Source organism: Homo sapiens, chromosome 10 (assembly GCF_000001405.40).
Source record: "Homo sapiens chromosome 10, GRCh38.p14 Primary Assembly".
NCBI lineage: Eukaryota > Metazoa > Chordata > Mammalia > Primates > Hominidae > Homo > Homo sapiens.
Window position 1 is genome coordinate 357,500 of NC_000010.11, and position 22,818 is coordinate 380,317.

The 22,818-nt window shown below is 49.8% G+C and overlaps 1 protein-coding gene across 9 annotated transcripts in view, besides 3 other annotated features; it reads right to left on the reverse strand.

Moving 5' to 3' along the window:
* Window positions 1–22,818, reverse strand: part of DIP2C (disco interacting protein 2 homolog C) — a 415,468-nt gene that overhangs the window by 83,299 nt on the left and 309,351 nt on the right. For 7 of the 9 annotated variants that reach the window (NM_014974.3, XM_005252427.5, XM_005252426.4 and 4 more), the window contains 6 exons: window positions 11,995–12,134; window positions 8,776–8,912; window positions 6,875–7,083; window positions 5,698–5,812; window positions 4,991–5,192; window positions 329–438 (listed from right to left, as the gene is read on the reverse strand). In NM_014974.3, the coding sequence (NP_055789.1) occupies window positions 329–438; window positions 4,991–5,192; window positions 5,698–5,812; window positions 6,875–7,083; window positions 8,776–8,912; window positions 11,995–12,134 (913 nt within the window). Of the gene's footprint in view, window positions 1–328; window positions 439–4,990; window positions 5,193–5,697; window positions 5,813–6,874; window positions 7,084–8,775; window positions 8,913–11,994; window positions 12,135–12,461; window positions 12,555–15,513; window positions 15,692–22,818 lie in introns of those variants that run through there. The other 2 variants (XM_011519433.4, XM_005252430.4) reach the window with 2 other exon arrangements.
* Window positions 6,297–7,496: an enhancer, noted in NCBI's record as "MED14-independent group 3 enhancer chr10:409736-410935 (GRCh37/hg19 assembly coordinates)". NCBI's record gives its function as "activates an origin of replication core promoter dependent on BRD2, BRD4, P300/CBP and CDK7 cofactors, and independent of MED14, by STARR-seq in HCT116 cells {active_cell/tissue: HCT116}" and the evidence as "EXISTENCE:reporter gene assay evidence [ECO:0000049][PMID:35650434]".
* Window positions 11,655–12,594: an enhancer, noted in NCBI's record as "H3K4me1 hESC enhancer chr10:415094-416033 (GRCh37/hg19 assembly coordinates)". NCBI's record gives its function as "activates a minimal SCP1, AML or CMV promoter by ChIP-STARR-seq in naive H9 embryonic stem cells {active_cell/tissue: H9 hESC(naive)}" and the evidence as "EXISTENCE:reporter gene assay evidence [ECO:0000049][PMID:30033119]".
* Window positions 15,336–15,843: an enhancer, noted in NCBI's record as "H3K4me1 hESC enhancer chr10:418775-419282 (GRCh37/hg19 assembly coordinates)". NCBI's record gives its function as "activates a minimal SCP1, AML or CMV promoter by ChIP-STARR-seq in primed H9 embryonic stem cells {active_cell/tissue: H9 hESC(primed)}" and the evidence as "EXISTENCE:reporter gene assay evidence [ECO:0000049][PMID:30033119]".

Below are 22,818 nucleotides of genomic sequence, written 5' to 3' on the forward strand. Positions count from 1 at the left end.
CCTCACCGATTTCTGCATCGCTGTGACATTTTCTGAAACTTTGTATCTCCTATAAACACATTTTTCTTATGAAATTATATGGTCTCTTGCAGGAGAGGACAGGTAGAATAAAGGAAGATCTGCAGTGGTGGTCCACCACCAGCGCGCGACATCGGAGACTGTCGGGAAAGTCGGGGACTGTCGGGGACGGTTGCGGACAGTCAGACACTGTCGCGGACTGTCAGGGAAGGTAGGGGACAGTCGGGTACTGTCGGGGATGGTCGCAGATGGTCGGGGACAGTCGGAAAAGTCGGGGACGGTCGGGGAGACTCAGGGACCCAGCTCCTACCTTGCGTGCCTGGTCGTTATCTTCGATCTGACCCAGGTCTCTGCCACTGGCCTGGGCGATTCTCTTCCCAGAGACCAGGTTCCCCACCATCACAGAGGCAGGGCCGATTTCTAGAAAGAAACAGAGACATGGCCATGAGGAAACAAAAGAGAAATTCCTTCAGACTAGACCTCCCACTTTGGTAAAGACCTTACTCTCGGAAAACTTCTGGAAAGACCTGGCTTTGAATAAACCTTCTAAGAACAGAGATTCAACGAAATCAAATGATTGTGAAGGGGGAGTGTAACAAGCCTTGGTCAGGTTCTTCAGAAACGATGTTTTTATCATCCCTGAAGCTCCCTGGAGGCCCTCCAAGCCCACGCCTGACTTTCCAGTTAATGTGAGAGCCCCGTGTGCCGGCACTCACAGCCATGATTGTAAAAAATAAAACGGAAGACACACACAGAATTAAAAGCCACGATTTGTCTCACTGCAGAGACCTGTGGCTCCCGTCTGTTCGAGTTCTCTGGGGTCCACACACCTGAGAGCTGGCTGTGGACAAACAGACAGTGGACATTTCACATACAGATGTCGTGGGGTGGAGTCAGAGAGTGATACTGTGGACGGGACAGGATAGAGTCGCTTCTCGGTATGTTATACTGACTGAAAAGGTCTTAGGTTCTGTCAGGCCCACAGTGAGGTGTGGAAGAATAAACCAAGGGCTGTCATAAAGTCATCGCTTATCCATGAGCGATGAGATGACTACCAACTGGGGAAAGTGGGGAAGAAGGGGGGGTGGGAGGTGGGGGACGGGGGTGGGAGGTGGGGGACGGGGGATGGGAGGTGGGGGACGGGGGTGGGAGGTGGGGGACGGGGGATGGGAGGTGGGGGACGGGGGATGGGAGGTGGGGGACGGGGGTGGGAGGTGGGGGACGGGGGATGGGGGATGGGAGGTGGGGGACGGGGGTGGGAGGTGGGGGACGGGGGTGGGAGGTGGGGGACGGGGGATTGGAGGGGGCAGAGGGATGGGGGATGGGCAGGGGGAGGAGCAGAGGAAGCAGGGAGAGTAAAAGAATGTTTACCAAAAGAATTGCAGGTAAAATAACAATGATATGATCAATTTATGCCTAATCCTTGGTTTGAAGGCTACTATTAAATCAAATTCTTAAATTCCCGATAAAGGTCAAGTAACAGGTTTCTAAGCCAGGCCACATGCTGCATTAGTTACTGCACAAGCAGGGCTATGGCTAAGCAGGTTGCTCATAGCCGTGTCAAAAACAGACACACGTGCCCAGATGCAGCTGACGGGGCAGTGGCACAGAACAAGGCTTCGGATGAGCCCATCACCATGACAACCGATGTCCCTCGGCTTCCCAAAAAGCTCACGGAAATGGTGGCACCAGAACAAGGCAGTCAGGGCCTGACGTCCTCTAGCCGGCCCCCAGGGAGAGCAGGGCCACCGGCTCTCTACAGATGCACGGCCATCCTTTTCAAATGCAGGCTGCCAGAAACGATTCCACTTATCACAGCTGCGCAGGAGAAGGCACGGCACTTCAGCCAGGATTGAAATCTGGAGGAGAACGGTCTATGAGCAGATGTCTGGGCTGCTGCCTGCCGGTGCCTTGGGTTCTAGGCGACGTGTAGGAGCCTCGAGTCTGGACTCTGTGTAACAGTAAGATGCCTCCTACACTCGGCAAATCATTTTTGAATTTTCACGTCGTAGTTGTGAACAGACTGAATTTCTTTTCTTAGTTCTTAATGAAGTATGGAAGAGGAATAGCCTTTTCACATTTAGCAAAAGAATTTGTCAGGCTCTGGAAGGAAGGGAGCTGCCCCGTGGTGGGAACAATTGCCCCTCTGTGATCTCCAAACACCTGGGAGCCCCTGCACGATCTCAGAACACAACACCCGGGAGACCCTCATTCACCCGCTGCGCATCCTCTATCTCTACCAGATAGAAGCGTCTTCTGAATGAAGCATCTTTAACAGATTTTTTTTGAGACAGAATCTGACTATGTTGCCCAGGCTGGTCTCGAAGTCCTGGGCTCCACTGATTCTCCCATCCTGGCCTCCCGCATTGCTGGGACCACAGGCGTGAGCCACTGCGCCTGGCTGATGAAGCTCTGAGCCTTCTCCTTGGTGACCGATGCTGGGCAAGACGAGACGGCTCTTCTAAGAAGTCAACTTGGAAACTGGCCTAAATGGGTTCCAAGGTTTCCCGTAATGTTTTTAAGAATTCAGACTGGGGTAGGGAAAGCGAGCTTTTGAGGAGAGATCAGGCTTTTTGTGGAGCCTTATTTTGTGCCCGTTTGCTACATGAAGACGTAGCACGTTCCCTCATCTCCACGTGCATCCTCTGAATGGAAGTTTGGGACCTTGAATGCCTCCCCATGCAGACTAGGGCCTGTTTTCCCGACTGCTCCTGGGAGGCAGAGGCCTTCTAGCTGCACCTCACTCTCAAAGTCTGTTCTTGGCAGCAGCTGACAGTGTCCCCTGTTGAAGAGAGGTGGGCATGTCCCAAATGCCCCCAGGGTATATCACAGCCTCGCCATTTAAGCTACAGAGTTGAGAGGAATCCCAAAACGTGTGTATTTGAGGCTCATGTCTCTTTTCTCTTCCCGCTCCCATTAATGGATTCACCCATCTGCAAGTCGGCAGCCGCATCGCTGGTATTATCAAATATCCTACCATGCAATGCTTGGCGAATTCGCTCAGGGCACAGGGCGGGAGTTTTATCTCAAAGACAGCAGCGAGACACACAAATCCCAAGTGGGAGGCAAGCCCTTCCCAGGTGCCAGGCTCTGGCCTCAGCAGACTCTTCCTGCTATTCGGGGGCAATATTCCCAGGGACCTTTAAAGCTGTGGAATTGTACCTTGTTTTGTAACTCTGTAATATTTTTGCCAGCTCAGCTGCTGAGTTAAAGGTCTCTTAATACTTTTGTGCTCAAATAAGATAATCTGAGGGTACACAGTGCCATTAACTGAGTAAATATGAATTCATGCAGTAAGAAAGGCAATTTGGGTGTCAATAGGCTGTCTCTGTTTCCAGCATCTCAGAACACTGTCACCCACAAATGGCCTCAACGAATGTTTGCTTTGGCTTCCAATAATGGCTACTCACCTGTCAGGGTCATTTTAAATGTTTATTCGAAGGGGCCTTAGAAATCATCCAGCCCAATTCCCTTCTCTGTGGTTCGAAGCTGGGGCCCCGGGGCAGGGGACGTCTGCTAAGCTGCGTATCAGGCCCTCAGCAGAGACGTAGGGCCTCAGCTCTGCCAGTTAATATTTGTTAAAAAGCTTTTTAAAGACACAAAATTATGTAACCTCTCAGTTTAGCAAAAACAGATGAGACACTAAATATATATATACTATTTTCTTTCTTTCAAGTTATCAATCACATGAAGCTTCATTTAATGAAGTACATTATTAGAGTAAAAAGATTTCCAATCTCCTGGGCCACTATTCCCCAGCTAAACTCCTAAGGAAGAGGGCTTTCTGCAGGAGGTCACACTCCTGACCGCAGTGTGAGGTTGCTGGCTCTGTCTCCCCACTGGGTTTTCCTGACCTCGGCGTGAGGCTGCTGGCTGCTCTCTCTCGCCTGGGTTTTCCCGGTCACTGGGCTTCTCGACATTTGGCTCAGGTGAGCCGAGCCCTGTAGCTATGGAGTCATTACAGCTTTGTATTTGCAAAGGATCCTCCTCCTTCCATAAACACTTGTCTGAACCCTGTCTCCACCAGCTACTGAACTACTTCCCAGCTGGGACCGTGGGTCACTGGGGTTGCTGGGTTGAGAGTGTCTGACAATCAAACAGTGGGGAGAGAGGATCAGGTCACTTCGGAGTTTACAATGAGGATACCCTGGAGAGCGCTGACACCATTATAAATCTTCATACTACAGAAACAGCCTGGGGAGAGCAACTGCCTCCGTGTCCTTCACAAGGCTGTTTACGTCCCGAGGCGGCAGACAGAGGCAGCGTTTTCCACCCTTTCAGAGCACTCCCTGAGGGACGATGCCCATGGCTTGAGCGGCTCCCAACAGAAGGCCACGCACCCACAGAATGTGGTGAAATGGATACTGTTCCCTGCAACTCCACATTCCCCGTGTCAATCATAAAAACCAGGGACCGCGAGAACAACAGTGTGGGGGGAAAACTGTGCCAATCAAACACCAGAGACCATGAGAACAGCCGTGTGTGGGAGGGGGCGGAAACAAACTGTGCCAATCAAACACCAGAGACCATGAGAACAATGGTGTGGGGGAAAAAAAAAAGAAATGGAGGAGGAATATTTAAGGAAATCTGCAACATAAGAAAAAAATTAGAAGTAGGTCAGAAATGAAAGAGCAACCATACGTGTGAACCCAATGTGCTTAGAAAGTGAGAGCACCGTGGCCGTGTCCTTCAGGAGAATGAGCTTTTGCTACGGGAGAACAGAGCCAGTAAGTTACGTGCTGACGACCACACTAACACCCCTGAGCCTACAGAGAATAAAAGCAAGGCATTTACAGCCAGAAGACCAGAATCCAAGTTGCCCCCACCCATTCTATTTTCTTGGGGTAACCACTTCTTTCCCGCAAGCATCAGCTTCCTGCAAGCAGCCCTGGGTGAACTCCCGCACCTCCCAGTGCCGTGCAGCCCCAAGGGAACTCCCGCACCTCACAAGCTGCCCAAGTGGTGCACATACCTGGCTGCTTCTGTCGAGGCTTAGGCAAGTTTGTGACGCAGGTGTGGGGGCACATTAGGACATTGCAGGGGTGCAGAGAGCCCTCCAGAAAAAGCTGTTTTGTTTCTGATAAATGGATCCCACCAAGCGGGGTTTTGGGGAGGGTGTTTGCTGGCACCAAGGCCAGGCAATAAACTCCAACTTGATGTATACTGTCAATCGCCTAGAAAGTTAATAAAGAGGAAATCATGTTATAAGAGGAAGTATAAACAGTACGTATTTATATTATGCAAAATATGATCCACAATACACAGAAGTCTGTGCAGTATAAGCACTGTTCCCAGCATAAAAATGCCAAGGTAAGAGAAAGGATTTTCCTACTAAACTCACCAAAGCTGAATAATGTTACCCAGGGCTTGTGGAAGACCATACACAGTAAAAAAGGAACTTTGGAGAAAAGATAACATGTTCTCAAGATCAAACAAAAAGCTTACTTCGACCTCCCCAAGGTGTCCGGTAGGAACCAGCTGTGCAAATTCCTGGTCCCTACACCCTCGATCTGCTGAGCTAGTTTCTGGACACTTGATGTAGTTCCTGATCAAATGAAGGGAAGGGAAAAAGGGCCACCCCATGGGCAAAGCAACAGCTGGTCACACCATGATCTGAATGAAGTAAGGAGGCCAGAAACAAGACACAGGGGACCAGTGCCCAGGGCGAGGGAGGGCAACCTGCAGCACACGGCTCATCCACTGGAAACTGTCCTCTTCCGTGGAGTCAGGCCTCTGCTCAGCCACGATCACGATCCTCTCGTCGTGCAGCACGGTCACCGAGAACACGGCTATCCTGCGGGGACACAGGAGCATGGTGAGCACGCGCCGGGGACGCTCATGCAGCCCTCCCTCCGCCATCAGGGGCTCCATAACCATCACTAGTGAGTGACACAGCTCCAACTACGACTTCAAAACGGCCGCTGTACTTCCGAATTTCCCCACACTCATCAGTACGGGAAGAACTGTGGGAGGCGCCCAGGGATGCTGCCGAGGCAAGGTCACCCTGATCCCCACGGAGGCCACACACAGCACCCGCGGGCTCTGGTGACCAGGTTGCGCCTTTCGGTACAGAGGGGCAAATGCGCAATGATCAGACCTGCTGAAATTTAGGGAGTCACACCCTTCACAGCTCGAGTTTGCACCCGTGAAGTTAACGGTCTCCAAATCAGTAGAAATTTGCCGTTTCAGAACTAGTGATTTTCTGCTAAGTGTATGTGCCTTATACTGTCAGCACAGCACAGTCACCTCCAGTAAAAGAGATTGTAGCTGTAAAGATAATTCAAAGGCAGCAACATCATATCCAGGTATCTACTTCCTGCTCCCATCAGCTTCCAAACTGAAAAAAGGCTCTAAAACACTTTATGACTTCCTCCAGATTGGCAAAAACTCAGGAACCGTGGCAACTTATTTCATCACGGAGCCTCCACTGTGCACCAGGCAAGGCAGGGAGAAGAAAACTGGTAGAGCGGGGAGGTGGCGAGCGTCTGCACTCACACAAGTCTGTGACTGAACCATTGTCCTTGGGTCTCTCCAACCCGCTCCACGATGGATATCTGGATCTTTAATTTGTGCAGTTATTTATCAGAAATAAGTTTTCTAATGCATATTTCTATTATACTTAGAGGGGAAGTTCAATGGAAATATATTTATGGAGCTCAGGGAATTTCTATAAAATCTTGGACATTCAGAACTGGATTAAATCTCAGAGGTCAGAGTCCAGTTGCTTCAATAACATGGAAGAGGAAACGGAGACACAATACATTTAAGGAAACTGTGCAACTTTCAACCCTTCAAAACCACATAAAAAATATGGCCGACCGGAAACCATATGCTTGATTTGCAGAACGCCACTGACCTTCCCCGGTAGACAAACTTCATGGGTTCTACGGCCAGCGCAGTGGCCACGATGTCGTCGGCGTTGTGCCTGCGCCCGCTGACCACCATGAGGCCATCCATCTTGCCCACCACGAAGACGAGGCCTCCGGGACCCACGAACCCCAGCAAGCCTGTCCTTATGAATGGGTATTCACTGATCGGAGCCCCGGAGCTTGTCATGGGAAACACCTGGGGGAAACAGCATCCATCAGGCCACTGTTCATGTGGTCAGCTGGTTTTAATCCTCGCCGCTACTCCTGGGAGCACGGCACCTGCTTTGCTTAAGCTCTGCCTTTCACCCCAGCAACCCTGCCCTAGGGCCGAGGTCACAGTGACCGCTGGTGGCCAACAGTCTTCGAGGCAGAAAAGCACTTCCTGCCCACCTCAGCAGGACCCCATCCGTTCCTGCACCTCCACTCACCTGCTGGAGCCTCCTGCCTCTGAACCCTGAACAGATAACACCCAGAAGTCTCACAGGAGGCCAATCAGCAGTAACTGATTACTTGGTTTACAAAACCACAATGTAAAAGACGAGTGAAGAGTCAAGGTACATTTTAAACAACGTCTGTTAGTTTTAAAGTAATCTCTCTTCATTCATAAAATGTTATTTGCCCTTGTTGGAAGTATGCTGAAAAGAAAAATATTAAGGAAGCAAATCAGATCAGTTCAAACTCTAACCCTCTTTTTTCCTCCACCCTTGCAGATAAACCAGAGAAACGGAGATGGAGTTTTTATTTAGATTTGTATCCAGCTCAGTTTCGAGGGATATTTTAGAAAGTTGAATTCACACTCAAGAAAGCTATCATAGACAGGTACTGTAACATCTGTTCAGCCACATCCAAAGTTCTCAACATTTAGACCAGCAACAGTGGCTCATGCCTGTAATCCCGGCACTTTAGGAGGCTAAGATGGGAGGATTGCTTGAGGCCAGGAGTTTGAGATCAGCCTGGACAACAGCATGAGACCCCATATGTACACAAGAATTTTTTTTTTAATTATTCAGGTGTGGTGGCACACGCCTGTACTCCCAGTGACTCGGAGGCTGAGGCAGGAAGATGGCTTGAGCCCAGGAGTTTGAAGCTGCAGTGAGCTGTGAACGTGCCACTGCCCTCCAGCCTGAGTGACAGAGCAAGACCCTGTCTCAACAACAACCAAAAGTTCTAAACATTTAGGAAATGTATCCCCAAACAATTTATATTTTCTTACATATAACTTAAATGTTGTGCTACTTCTAAGGCCAGGACCTACTTGGTAAAAAGATAAGAGTTCTGAGTTGCAGCACTGAACGTGTGTCTGAGCCCTTCATTACACAGCACATCTGTGCACACGCCCCATGCACGCACATTACACACGCATCTGTGTACACCACATGCATACTTGCTTGTGCCACTGAGATCGTTACATACACGTGTGCTCGAGTTCTCACAGGTTCATACCTGGCCACATCTAGCCCAGGCCGAGGAGCCGTAAAGGGGCTCTAGTTGGCTTCCCCAGGCGAGGGTTCGTACCTGGCCACGTGTAGCCCAGGCCAAGGGGCTGTAAAGGGGCTCCACTTGGCTTCCCCAGGCAAGGCCCTTCACGCACACAAGTGCACGTTCAATAATGATCCACTTTTCACAGTAAAAGTGAGAAAAGTAACAAAAAGGATCCTTTTTAAAGCATGCTTATTCTTTTAAACACTGGTTATAAGGTCAGAACAATGCTGATAAAACAAATTTATCAAAAGCGATAAAAAGTGGTAAAGTGCCATCGTTTTCATTCATATAAACACGTCTTGCTAAAATGGATCTTACATTCCACGTCTATCACTATGCACCTGGCAAGGGCTCTTTGGAGACGGAGCCACAGATGGTGCCCATGGTAAGACTCTCCTCCACCTACCTCAAAGGTGTTCTTGGTCATGCCAGAGAGGCCATAGTAGGACGTGCCCGTCGCAACTGCACACACACACAGCTCCCCGATCTCATCCGTTCTGCACAGCTGAGGAACCCCGTCTGGCTTCACTGAACACATGATGGCTAAAAGCAAACAGGAAAGCACATGCAGTGTGAGAGGGGGCAGGTGGGGAGAATAAAGGAAACAGGGAAGACGCGAATATGAACGACACCAGTGAACAGGAATGGGGTCTGGAGCAAAACTGCACGGATGGTAGTCAGCCAGGCACTCATTTTCCCTAAAGAGCCATGAGTTTTCCTGTTGCAGCAACATGTCAAATTTCATAGTTGAAACATCAATAAATATTTCAATTGCTTTAATGTTAATGCGCAAGTTGTATTTAGGGGCGTGACATCATCTGCCATTTAGATATGGGGAGGAACCTCAGAACTAACATCAGGACCACCTGCCACACCAGACATCAGCAACGTGGTGCAACTTGACCTCTGCAAATCAAGCCTCTAATGTCTTATGGAAATCTGAATCTTCGATTTCACACTCCGTGCAAGGTGAGCCCTTCCGAGAACACCACTGGAGCGCTTTGCACACGGTTCAATGCTGATAAGTTCTCACTGGTCTGTGCCACCAACACTTTCATGCTTTGCCCAACAACATCCTACATACCCCCCAACTGCAATCCACAAATCTGATTAGGGAGCCAAGAGCCTCAGGCTTCAGAAGGGTGGAGTGTGCATTAGTGACAGCTGAGCTGTTTAGAAAGAGCCTAAAACAGCCGGCACCCGCTGGGCTGGAGTACAGAACAGTGGAAACATAAGTTAAACTCACAGGAAGAAAGATTCACATTAAGGCCGGACGCGGTGGCTCACGCCTGTAATCCCAGTACTTTGGGAGGCCGAGGCGGGCGGATCACAAGGTCAGGAGATCGAGACCATCCTGGCTAACATGGTGAAACCCCGTCTCTACTAAAAATACAAAAAAGTAGCCGGGCGCAGTGGCGGGCGCCTGTAGTCCCAGCTCCTCGGGAGGCGGAGGCAGGAGAATGGCGTGAACCCGGGAGGCAGAGCCTGCGGTGAACCGAGATCGCGCCACTGCACTCCAGCCTGGGCGACAGCGAGACTCCGTCTCAGAAAAAAAAAAAAAAAAAGTTCACATTAAATTTACACTGAAAGATTCTTCACCCATCAGATTGGTAAAAACAAAAGTCAGGTAACACGGTGGGTAAGGAGTGGAGAAAGAAGTGCTGCTGCTTACCGCTCGGCAGGGTACAGCTTCACAACCTTCGAAAAGACAATCACAAAAATCACATCGGCAGTTCTCTTTGAAACACAACTCCCACTTCTAGAACTGTTTCCATTAGACACGAGGGGGTCACTCACTGCAGCAGCAAAAGAGGGAAATTCACCAAACGGGGGGGCTCAAATAAACTTAGTGCCCCCACAAGGTAGCACTGTGCTGCCTTGAGAACACCGCGGAGCTCGTTACGCGCTGACAAAGGACCCTCAGGATAAAACATGCGTATGTACGCAGTACTCCATCATGACGTGAGAAAACCCCGGAACCCAGGGCAGAGGACACACACGGGGTGGGGGTGCAGGCTTCTGTTCCACAGCCCCAGGTGCCTCCGACGGGGGCCCGGGAAGCCCGCGGTTGCTCTCACTGCCGCACAGCCCCAGGTGCCTCCGACGGGGGCCCGGGAAGCCCGCGGTTGCTCTCACTGCTGCACAGCCCCAGGTGCCTCCGACGGGGGCCCGGGAAGCCCGCGGTTGCTCTCACTGCTGCACAGCCCCAGGTGCCTCCGACGGGGGCCCGGGAAGCCCGCGGTTGCTCTCACTGCTGCACAGCCCCAGGTGCCTCCGACGGGGGCCCGGGAAGCCCGCGGTTGCTCTCACTGCTGCACAGCCCCAGGTGCCTCCGACGGGGGCCCGGGAAGCCCGCGGTTGCTCTCACTGCTGCACAGCCCCAGGTGCCTCTGACAGGGGCCTGGGAAGCCCGCGGTTGTTCTCACAGTCACAAAGGAGCATTTTCATTGTGTCCTTCAGAACCTTTTGAAGATTTCACCATGCAGTTCCATTTATTTGAAAATTAAATATTAAAGAAATGGAGCCAGGGGGGCCTGGCCACAGCTGGGAGGCAGGGAGTGGGCTGGACACAGGGGCTAGAGGGCTGCAGGCAGAGGCAGAGCTGCGGGGATGCTGGAGGGCGTCCGCAGGGAATCAGGGAGTAGTGAGGAGGAGGGAAGCCACGGGCTGCCTTCATTTCTTTTATGCCAAACAGGCCGAACAGAAAGGCGAGACAGCTTCTGGAGTGCCTGGCCCTAGCGCAGCTCACCATGAAGGGGCATGAGGGGTCTGCCTCTGTGAGACTCCATGGGGCGAGGGTCCCTGCTGAGGCCCACCTGACCTGGCGCCCTGCACCTGCTGCTGAAGGCGGCAGCACTGCTCGCACAGGCATGGCTACCCTGCTGGGCTTGAGCCCACACCCCATGCCTGGAGGGCTCAGCAGGAGACACAGGCTCCAGGATTCCCAGCTGAGAAAAGAGACGGGTTCCCTTTCTGGGGCCAAACAGCCAGGGGCTGATGCTGCCTGTGACCCCATGAGTTGAGCGCCAAGCGTGTGCACCCTAAGAATGGTAAAGCGGCTCCTGGGAGGTGCCTGGGCGCTCCTCGTGGGGCTGGTGGGGAGGCACGGCGGGCCCTGCAGCTGGGCGCTTCCTCATGCATCTGTGGAAAAGGCTTCTGAGACTTGGAAAAAGGTCTCTACTGCTGAAAACAGGTTTCATGGTCACACAAACTCACATTCCTTGATTTTCACATGTGTCTGCCTTGGCGGAAGCCGAGCTTGGCTGTTCCCACTCTGGCTAGTGCCTTAGGGTGACAGATGGGCACGTCCTCTGGGGGAGGGAAGGGAAGCTGCCCAGGCACCAGTGTGGACCCTGCACTGGCCCCGAAGCCTTCCAGGGAAGAGCAGCCTGAGGTCCCAGTGTGCAAAGCTGCCCTTCCCCATCTTCTTGATCGTCTACCAGGAGAGGGAACACTGCCTCAAATGTCTGAAGCCTAACAAAGACTTCAGAAGACTGGGAGTGAGGCTCTCAGCCTGAGGGCACACCACGGGAACGCGGGAACGTGGGAACGCAGGCTTTGGTGACATGTGTTAGAAAAGCATTTAATAACTGGTTAATCTGTGCAGCTCGCGACCCACACTCACCTCCAGGCATCACGAGGCCGACATCCTGCACGGTGAGCACGGACAGCTTCTCTTCCGAGTCCACACGAATGACCCCATAGGTCAGTCCATGCATGGAGAGGACACCCCGGCCCGGGGGCTGGTTACTGTCATCCGTGGGCCTGTAATGACAGTTTTTAACTTGAATATGCAGGAGCAGATAAGCCATCACAATCACAGATGTGCAGTCAGCACACATGCGGCAGGCTGGGCACCTCTGGGCACAGTGCTGGCACCCCAGGCACAGTGCTGGCTGCCCATGTGGCTGCATTAGGGGATGCTCGTTCTGTTTATGAACAGCTGGCAGCGAGTCTACTGCTTCCGCCTCTACATTCCCAGGGAATCCCAAGAACACCCGTAAACTACCAACGCAGCTCCTCTCCTGCCCCCTCTATGCAGGCCCTGCACAGACCAGCTCTCTCTCCCCTCCCTCCAGGCCCTGCACAGACCAGCTCTCTCTTTCCTCCCGGCTCCTGCTCACTCCACGGTCTGCTCTTCTAGTTTTGCAAATGTCTGGAGGGTGGTGCATCCACTCCAAGAATGCAGACAAAACCACTGAACAGCAATGATGGAAATCCTGACTGTCCAGCCTCAATTCAGATGCAGACTGCCTGGGCGTATGCCCAATTTTATAAGAATCTAAAATAAGATTTACGCTGTGCCATTGTGGCTGCCAAGTTCTAAGGAAAACTATTTGGGTGGCAGGCAAGCTGTAGAATGCATTGTGGGTCAGGAGAAGACGGGTCCGCATAAGGCAGTTTTCAGAAGACCACTGCGCACACGTTCACCACGCTGGGGCCCACCCCACCTCCTCTGCCGGACACCCCAGCTTGCTCCCGCCTTGGGGCTTCTGTGCTGGTTCTCGCTGCTACCCAGGACGTTCCTCCGGCAGACGTCCACACGGCCCTCTCCCTGTCTCCAGGGGACTTCTTGTCCCCTCAGAAAACACCCCCCACCCAGTGTGCCCACCCCACAGCACACACCTCTGACTACCTGTGCGACCTCCTCCCTCAGACCCAACTCTCCCAAGAGCGGCCACAGTTTGTTTTGCTCACTGCTGCATCCCAGCCCTGGAAAATGTCTAGCAATGAATAGCTGCTGACTGAATTTGCGAACAAATAAGTTAAAATCTAAGATCACGGATTACATTCCTGAAAACTAACAATTCCTCAACGGTTATCTAAGTGAGTCACCACAATTTAGGTACACATTGTTTCTGTAATTTTCCATTTATAAATCTTTAACGCACTTCAGACCTAAAAGCTGGACTATAAGTTAGCTGTTTAACTTTAAAATATTATGGTTTATAATGAAACTGAAGACATAAATGGGGAAACATAAAAGTTAATATTTGGAAAAGGAGATCTCATTTGAATGAAGTAACTGGTGTATTGAAAAAAGCATGAAAGACTCTGGAAAAAGAATTATTCTAGATGTAAGAATCAAAAAGGATAGAGCTAACCAGATATAAAAGAAAAGTCTCCCCAAATAAGAAAACCCACACGGAACTACCTAGATAGGGCGAGCTCAGATCCCCGGGCTTTCCATTATCCTCCTGGCCTTTAATTCCTAGAGACCCCAAACAAATCAAAACTTCAAAATGAAAACACAGGTGTTGTCAGTGGTCCTGCCACCATCCCCTCACCCTGCACCATCCCCTCACCCTGCACCATCCCCTCACCCTGCACCATCCCCTCACCCTACAAGAGTCCTCTACAAAGATCAGCGTGGAAGTCAGGCACTGTGAGCTTCAGCATCTGCTGTGGGTTGAATCGTGTCCCCGCAAAAGATCACCCCTTGTATCTGTGAGCTTATTTGGATGCAGGGGCTGTTCAGACACAGATGCCCCTGGACTTACAACTTGATAAACCCATTGTAAAGGCGGAAATTGAAGTTGAGCCACCGTAAGCCAGGGCCATCTTATGACCAGGTTAAGATGAGGTCATACTGGGTTAGAATGGACCCTAAATCCAATTACTCTGTCCTTGTAAGAGAAAAGAGAGGTCCTGACACAGGGAGAAGCTCACGTGACGATGGAGGCAGAGACTGGAGTGACAGGTACCCATCCAGGATAGCTGAGCACCCAAGGCTGGGGTGAGGCCCAGGGCGGATCGCTGAGCAGAGCAGCACCCGAGGGAGGCTGGGGTGAGGCCTGGGCTGAGCTGAGCAGCACCCGAGGGAGGCTGGGGTGAGGCCTGGGCTGAGCTGAGCAGCACCCGAGGGAGGCTGCGGTCAGGCCTGGGGTGGGCCCCCTCAGCACGTCCAGACGCCCAGCCCTGTGACACCTTGGGGTCTCCAACTCCAGCCTCCAGAAGTGAGACAAGTTTCTGTTGTTTAAACCACTCAGTGTGTGGTACTTTGTTACGAGAGCCGGAATACGCTATCTTAGTGATAAAAATTTAAGGTACACTTATTTTTGTTTTTAAAAGCCACATGAAAGCAAAATGCTAGGCTAGCCAAGATTGAGAACACTGACCTGCCGGGCAAGGGCCGGAAGGGAAAAAGTTATCTCAGGGCCCAAAAACGTATGTTTTATTGTCTCAATCACAAAAACCCCCTTTCCTTTTTTTTTTTTTTTTTTTGAGACACAGTTTCACTCTGTCACCCAGGCTGCAGTGCAATGGCGTGATCTTGGCTCGCTGCAACCTCTGCCTCCCGGATTCAAGCCATTCTCCTGCCTCAGCCTCCTGAATAGCTGGGACTACAGGCGCCGCCACCACAGCCAGTTAATTTTTTTGCTATTAGTAGAGACGGGGTTTCACCATGTGGGCCAGGCTGGCCTCGAACTCCTGACCTCGAGTGATCTGCCCTCCTCGGCTTCCCAAGGTGTTGGAATTACAGGCGTGAGCTACTGTGCCTGGCCAAGATCCTCTTTTCTATGTTTAAACACAGTTAACGAGAAATAAGACCTGCACATTTAATAATTGAATATGTTAAGATTACAAATTGTGTTTGCTATAGGAACTTTTCAGTTATGCTTATACAATGATAGTTCCAGGAGGCTGAATATGTTCATATTAGCCACGTTAACCTTCATTAATTTAACCTTCCACTGTACATTTATTCATATTTGATAGATTCCCTTGCTAGTCGGAGAAAACGCACGGCCCCGGGATTCTTTCCTTGCAGATGTGCAAGACACTGGCATACAGCCAGGCACAGAAGCGCAGGAGGTCCCGACACACAGCCAGGCACAGAAGCGCAGGAGGTCCCAACACACAGGCGGGCACAGAAGCACGGGTGCTCCCGACACACAGGTGGGCACAGAAGCGCGGGAGCTCCCGGCACACAGGCAGGCACAGAAGCGCGGGTACTCCTGACACACTGGCAGCCTCACAGCCCCACCTCCCCACAGACGTGGTGTTTGGGGCCACCCCTTAACTTCTGACCTGGTGGTGCTGATGCCTCCCCCTCCAGATGGCAAACCAGTGCCCCAGGGGTACCCTCCGTGTGCCAAATGGTTCTGACTCTTTCATGCATAGGGACTCGCTTAAAACTCACCATAAGCCTATGGCTATTATTCCTCACTTTCAGATGAGAAGATTCGGGCACAGAAAGGTTGACTTCACTGCCCAAGTGGGTGGTGGGGCTCGGCAGGACTCAGACCCAGAGCATAGCCCCTGCTGACCTGAGTGCCCGCCCCTCCCTGGTCTTTGCCTCTGATCCCAGGACACTGAGTGAATCAGTCTACTGCTCTCTTCTTTTTATAAAAACTTAGAAGCAAACAGCACAACCAACGTCAGCACATTCTTAGTATGAACAAGGCAAACATCACAGTCAAAAGGCAAAGTCCCTGTTTCTGCTCCAATCCTATGCCCCACAAATAACCACATACAGATTTTTTAATGTCAAAGTTTAGACTCCTAGATATGCAGTTAAGTATAAAATATGTATGTATACCAATACATTGATTTTTAAAAGAAAAGCAGAATCAAGATGATGCTTATTCTATGTTGGCAGAAAAGCTGAGTGTTGGGAGAAGCTGCGGCAGGGCTTGCAGGTCTGACATAATGTAAGAGTCTCAGAACATGTCTGGGGTCCACGGTCTAAAACCCCTTGTGGTCTTTGGAACACCAAGCTCTGTGCTAAAGGGTGGAAGGCTGCCCTGACACACCATAAACTAAGCCCAGGGCATAAAATCCCTCGTGGCTTGGATAGAATCCAGGGCTTGTGGCTCTGGAATGTGTCTAGACTTGCTGGCTCCTTGCTCTCCCAGGGTCGATTGTATCCTGAGTTAAAAGAACCTGCTCTCCATTATCTCAAGCAGAATATGTTCCACATGCTTCAAAGAAAATGCTAAACCGTCACAGCTGTAAGATCATGCGCTTGCCCTTTCAAGCCCCACATTCTCAACACCTGTTTCTTTGTTTGATCACCAATAAATAGTCTGGGCTTCCAGAGCTCAGGGCCTTCGCAGCCTCCATACTCGCAATAGCCCCCCGGATCCAATTTCTCTCTCAAACTGTCTTTTCTCATTCCTTTGACTCCACCATACTTTGTCACCCCAACAACCTGGTGTTGGATCTGATCACCCCAACATTCTAAAACTCACTCTCTTCACTAAACATATCTGCAGATCTTTCCATGTGTCTGTGTGTGGGTGTGCATCTGTGTAGGTGTGTGCACCACTGAATTCAGCTGGTTTGTTACACACAGTGTTTAGTAATACAAATATAAGATCATATATTTTCTTTCATTCAATTTTTATACAGCTGGAAATGTATCTGTAATATACATACCTAGAAAGAAAATGGAGCATCACAAAGCACATATACTTAAATTTTTAAGAAGACCTAAATATCCTCCCAAAATAACATACTTTGCATTCCCACTAACAGAACAGGAGTATTATTTTCTCATCTACTAGAAAAGCACCTCACACTGGCTGTATTGTGTTGTGGTTATATATTTAATGACCTATTCTGCACAGCAACCCTGTGGAGATGGGTGCAGCACCATGACCCTCCCTGTTTAGCAGACAGGGGCAGGGGCGAGGAGGGCTGAGTGCTACCCAAAGCCACTGCTGTGGAGTGGAGCCAGCGCCAATCTCAGTCTGGCTTCAGAATCTGTGCATCTGACCACAGCGCCAAGCTGCTCAGCAGTGCCCATCTCTGCACTCTTGCCAACACTTAAAATGCTTCCCAATTTGTTCAGTAAAACACCATTTGTTGGTCCAATTTGTGTTCCCTGTATTATTGAGAAACTTAGATGATATTTATCTCCATCAACACCTTGCTAAGAAGTAAAAATCCCAAGTAGGTAGATGAGGTGAGGAAGGGAAGAAACAGTCCCCATAGGCAGAATTCGAGGGGGTTTAAAAAACATCCACCTTAATAATCAATATCAGTACATTAAAAAATGGCTAATAAAGGTATCCGCCCATTCATCAACTTCCAAACTCAGTTCCCATGTGAAATGGTGTTCAAGACCAAACAGCTTTGTGTGTCTCATGAAGAATATGGATTCCAGGAGGGACCATCTCAGTGATCTCCAGGAATGTAAGGAGGCAGAGTCCTCTCTTGGAGATATGGAAGGAGCAAAATACGTACCTGTGTATACAATACCACGATGACGTGCAAAAGGGAAACAAAATAAAACTAAAGGACAACAGAGTCTGGATGTTTTGTTGCCTGCAGATCTCACGTTGAAATGTGACGTCCAACAATGCAGGTGGGCCTGTTCTCGCAGTAACACGAGAGTTCTCACTTTATGAGTTCACGTGGGATCTAGTTGTTTAGAATAGAGCTGGGCACCTCCTCTCTCTCTCTCTTGCTCGCTCAATCTCTCACCATGTGACATGCAGGCTCCCACTTTGCCTTCTGCCATGATCATAAGCTTCCTGAGGCCTCACCAGGAGCTGAGTAGATGCTGGAGCCATGCTTCTCTTACAGCCTACAGAACTGTGAGCCAAAATAAACCTCTTTTCCTTATAGATTACCCAGTCTCACACATTCCTTTATAACAATGCAAACACACCAACAAAAAGGAAAGAAGCAGGCCAGACCTTGCAATGTGGCCTCACGAGGAATGTACACTATGGCTTCCATTGAACCATTTGCACCACTGACTTGTCATAGCATTTCCAGCCTCTGGAAAGCATTCCATAAGCCTTGCCCGCATAACACCTTGAAGTAGCAGCTCCTATAAATTTCATGAACACATCTGCAGTTTGCTACTCCTGACCACAAGCAGAGCCAGGCCAGGCTTGGGACATTCACACAAAACAAACACATCAAGTAGTGAACAAGCCTCACAGCCTCCAGTTCTAGGGCTTAACAGAGAGCCACACTGCACCTGCACAGCTTCAGTGCCGCTCATCATTTGCTGAATCCCTTAAGCAAGTGAGTCAACAAGGTCTTTCATTTTTTTTATCTTATACGGGCGATCTCCAATGTAGTATTCCTCAGCTTAGCAACAACGGCACATTTAGAGAAGAAAGAGTTAAGCTGCAGGCCCCTCCTCCCCAGCAATCTTTACACAGCATTTCTATGCAACGGACCACACACAAAACACGCCTGCAGTCATGTAACGGCGGTAACATTTGTTGAATTCTTACTATGTACCAGGCGTGCTTTCAAGCTCTGTGTGTGTATGAACCCACTCAATGCTCACACGGGCCTCTGACGTAGCTAACTGCTGTGATTCTCATCTACAGACGAGGAATCCTCAAGGTGAAGCCCTGCCCACATGACAAAGCAGGCGCGAGAGCAGCGAGATGGGGACCCAGGCCGACCTCGGCCCCCGACAGAGCCGGCAGGGAGAAGGACCCAGGCCCACCTCGGCCCCCGACGGAGCCGGCAGGGAGAAGGACCCAGGCCCACCTCGGCCCCCGACGGAGCCGGCACAGAGCAAGAATGAGGTGGTGCTCATCCCACACACGACGTTCCCTGTGCTGGCGTCGAAGCACCTGCACAACGTTGCTTCTTTGGGAACACGCATTCCGGTTCCAGACAAAATGCGAAGTTACCAGGAAGCCTGTTTGAGAGTGGGGTTGGGAGGGGGGGTCTTCCCTTCTGAACTGGCAGCCAGAACCCCGAGGAAGTGTCTTTTTTTTTTTTTTTTTAAACAGGGCAGCTACTCTGGTCTTGAATCACCATTCACCACCAAAGGTTTCTCTTTTAGATGGACGTAAATCAGCCCTGATGAAGGTGCCGGGGCAGCCACACAACGCACACAGAACACAGAACATCTCCTCTGCTTTCTTTCCTCTCTGGGCCACTCTTTTTCACAGCAGCAGAATGAACTAATAAATTCACAGTACTGGTAAAAATGCCCTTTAAAGGACAGGAGCAGTTAAGCTTGTGAACTCATTTCAGCAGAAATAATATTTTCAGGAAACACGCACCGCGAGGGGAAATTCAGTGAAAAATGTGCATGTACCTTTTTCGATGTTTAGCGTGACACAGACTTTCAAAAACACAACAGATAAGTGAGATTGCGATTTTTAATAGGAAAAGATACAATGTAAAAGCAGCCAATATATTAAGTTATGAGTTGATTTAATGTAATATTCTTCCTTTTCTCTAACAGGAGCAATGCATGCCCACTAAAAACAGCCCATTTTACAAGCTGCACAGCACGGAAAGTGAGCTGCCCATCTTTACTGCCTCACCCACCCTGTGCAGCGCAGTTTTTTTTTTTTTTTTGCACTGAATATACTATTTACAGATACTTAATTTTTTGTTACCAAAAACGGGATCACACTATATAAACTTTTTTACAAACTCTTTCTCATAAGCCTTGGCCACCTTTCTATTTCCAGGGGAGGTTATGGGCTGGAACTGGGGGGGACCCCGTGGGGAGGCCCCTCCTCTGCCATCTTCCCGCTGCACCTCCTTTGCCAAAACCAACTTCTCATCATCTAATTCACCACAAAACAGAACACACTGTAAAACGCACGTGGTTGGGTGAAATTAAACAGGAAACTTGGTTTGCTATTCGATGCTACCTAACTCTCATGGTCTGGGTCACGTGATTTTCATCTCGAAACTACTCTGTAGTTAGAGAATTGCAAAATTTTATCCCTCTTTTTAGATAAAATGACACAGTTTATCTTGCGTTCTCTTACATGCGGGATTATGGAACTCTGGGTCTGACTTTTCCGAGCAGTGGGAAGTGCTCACTTCGGATCCACTTTGGCTCAGGGCTGTGCTGACGTTTTCTCCGCTGTCACTCATCCAGGCACCATCAGCACCCAGTGGGCATCAGACAGCACCCTTCTCCCTGCGGACACGTCTTCTTTGATTTTTCTCCCAGCTAACTTCGAGCTTGGATACTTTCAAAAACTAGAAGATGGTTGTGGTGACAAGGGGGTATTTTATCTTTTCTGGAATTATTGTTTCATTGTTTTATATGATTTTTGCATTTTCATTACTAAAATATCAGGGTATCCAAATAGTACTTTGTAGTTACAAAGCTAAAAATTATGTTTTTCAGTTCAATAAACATTTCACAACGTAGCTTTAAGAAAATCAAGTCTATCATCTACATTCTAGAGATGGTAACAGAGTCAGATGGCAGGAGATTTAGGGGATACTTGTAGCCAGGAAACAGTTTCCTGGTTTTCGCCTTGCAATTTGTCCTTTAAAAAATGTCTGATGAGTTTAGGCACCACAAGCCCCTATTTCCCCAATATTTTTCTACTCTAAAACTAACATCGGGAGAAAAGAAAACACAAAATATAACAGGACAGTGACAGTTTTAAAGAGAAAAAAATACTTTAAATGCCTAGGTGAAAATACAGTTCACGTAGCAAGACTGAGCAGACTTCACTAGAGAACGTGATTTCCTGCCACCACTTGGCTGACACACATGAACACGAAGGTGAAAACAGACACACATGAAGGCACACACATCAACACAAACACGAAAACAGGCATACACAGGTGAAGACAGACATGAAGGCATGCATGCATGAACAGGCATGCATAAAGACACGTGAACACAAACATGCCTAGACAAAGACATGCATACATGTGAACACAGACATGCATAAAGACACGTGAACACACATGCACAAAGACACATGTGAACACATGCAGACACGTGAACACAAACATGCAGACATGTGAACGCAGACATAGACACACATGAACAGACATGCATAAAGACACACGAACACAGACATGCATAAAGACACACATGAACAGATATGCCTAGGCACACATGAACAGACATGCATACACACATGAACAGATATGCACAGACACGTGAACAGACATGCATAAAGACACATGTGAACACATGCCTAGACACGTGAACACACATGCCTAGACACCCATGGACATGCATAAAGACACAAATGAACAGACATGCACAGATGTGAACAGACATGCATAGACACATGTGAACAGACATGCCTAGACACACGTGAACACAGACATGCATAAAGACACGGACACAGACATGCGTGAGGACAGGCGAGTCACCAGCCCTTGTCCCTTCAAAGTCTCCGACTCATGTTTTTAAAGACTCTCAACCTCCCTAAAATGAGTGCTGGTCATTCTTTTTTGGAGACTGGCCTTTCTGTGAGGGGAGAACCAATGGCATAAGCTCTGGCAGTGACCTGCCTGCAGCGCTGGGCAACCTGACAGAGGGCACAGCACCTGCGGCCCAGGCGCCAGCCTGCTCCCACATACCCATCGCCAGGGCTGCTGCTGGCTCCCGAGTGCCACGCCCCCCCCCCCCCCCCCCACAACCCCTGACAGCTGCTGCTGGCTTCTGTACGCCCTGCCCCGCTACCCCACCCCAACCCCTTCCCCATCACTAGGGCTGCTGCTGCTCCCGGAAGTGCCCGTGCATCCTGCGTATTTATCAAGCGGGATACTGGAGGTTCCATTGATCCTGTGAGCCCCAGAACTTTCCGACATGCTCTGTTTTGCATGACAGACATTCTATGTTGCTTGCAAGAGTGATATGAAGATACTCCACAGCCAGTGGGCTGTGGGCATCCCTGTCAGACCTGGGGCTCTTGAAGGCCCTGGACCTTGACGCCTGGAAGACTGACTCATAGCCCAGATGTCCATGCTTGGCCCTGCTGGCACCTGCAGCCACTGGGTGGCTTTCTTGTGAGTGCCTCAGCTTCTGATTTATCTACTTTTTTGTTTTCTTTTTTGCAGAAGAGAATCACTAAGTGATACATATTCCAGAGAGGGCCAAAATTCTACAAATAGTAAGCAAATGCATCTGCAATTTTATTTGCATTCTACTGCAGATAATCGTTATCCTTTTTAAATTAAGTGGACTGAAAGCCAAGCAACCAACCAGCTGCAACTCAGCACCTGGAAGTTCAGTCTCTGCTTTGATACCAGGAGCAGGGGCTGTCCCTGGAAGATGGTTAACACGCAGAAGAGGCTGTCCCTGGAAGATGGTTAACGTGCAGAAGAGGCTGTCCCTGGATGATGGTTAACAGGCAGAAAAGGCTGTCCCTGGAAGATGGTTAACGTGCAGAAGAGGATGTCCCTAGAAGATGGTTAACACGCAGAAGAGGCTGTCCCTGGATGATGGTTAACGCACAGAAGAGGCTGTCCCTGGAAGATGGTTAACACGCAGAAGAGGCTGTCCCTGGAAGACGGTTAAAGCGCAGAAGAGGCTGTCCCTGGAAGATGGTTAACGTGCAGAAGAGGCTGTCCCTGGATGATGGTTAACGCACAGAAGAGGCTGTCCCTGGAAAATGGTTAACGTGCAGAAGAGGCTCTCCCTGGATGATGGTTAAGACGAAGAAGAGGCTGTCCCTGGAAGATGGTTAACGTGCAGAAGAGGCTGTCCCTGGATGATGGTTAACACGCAGAAGAGGCTGTCCCTGGA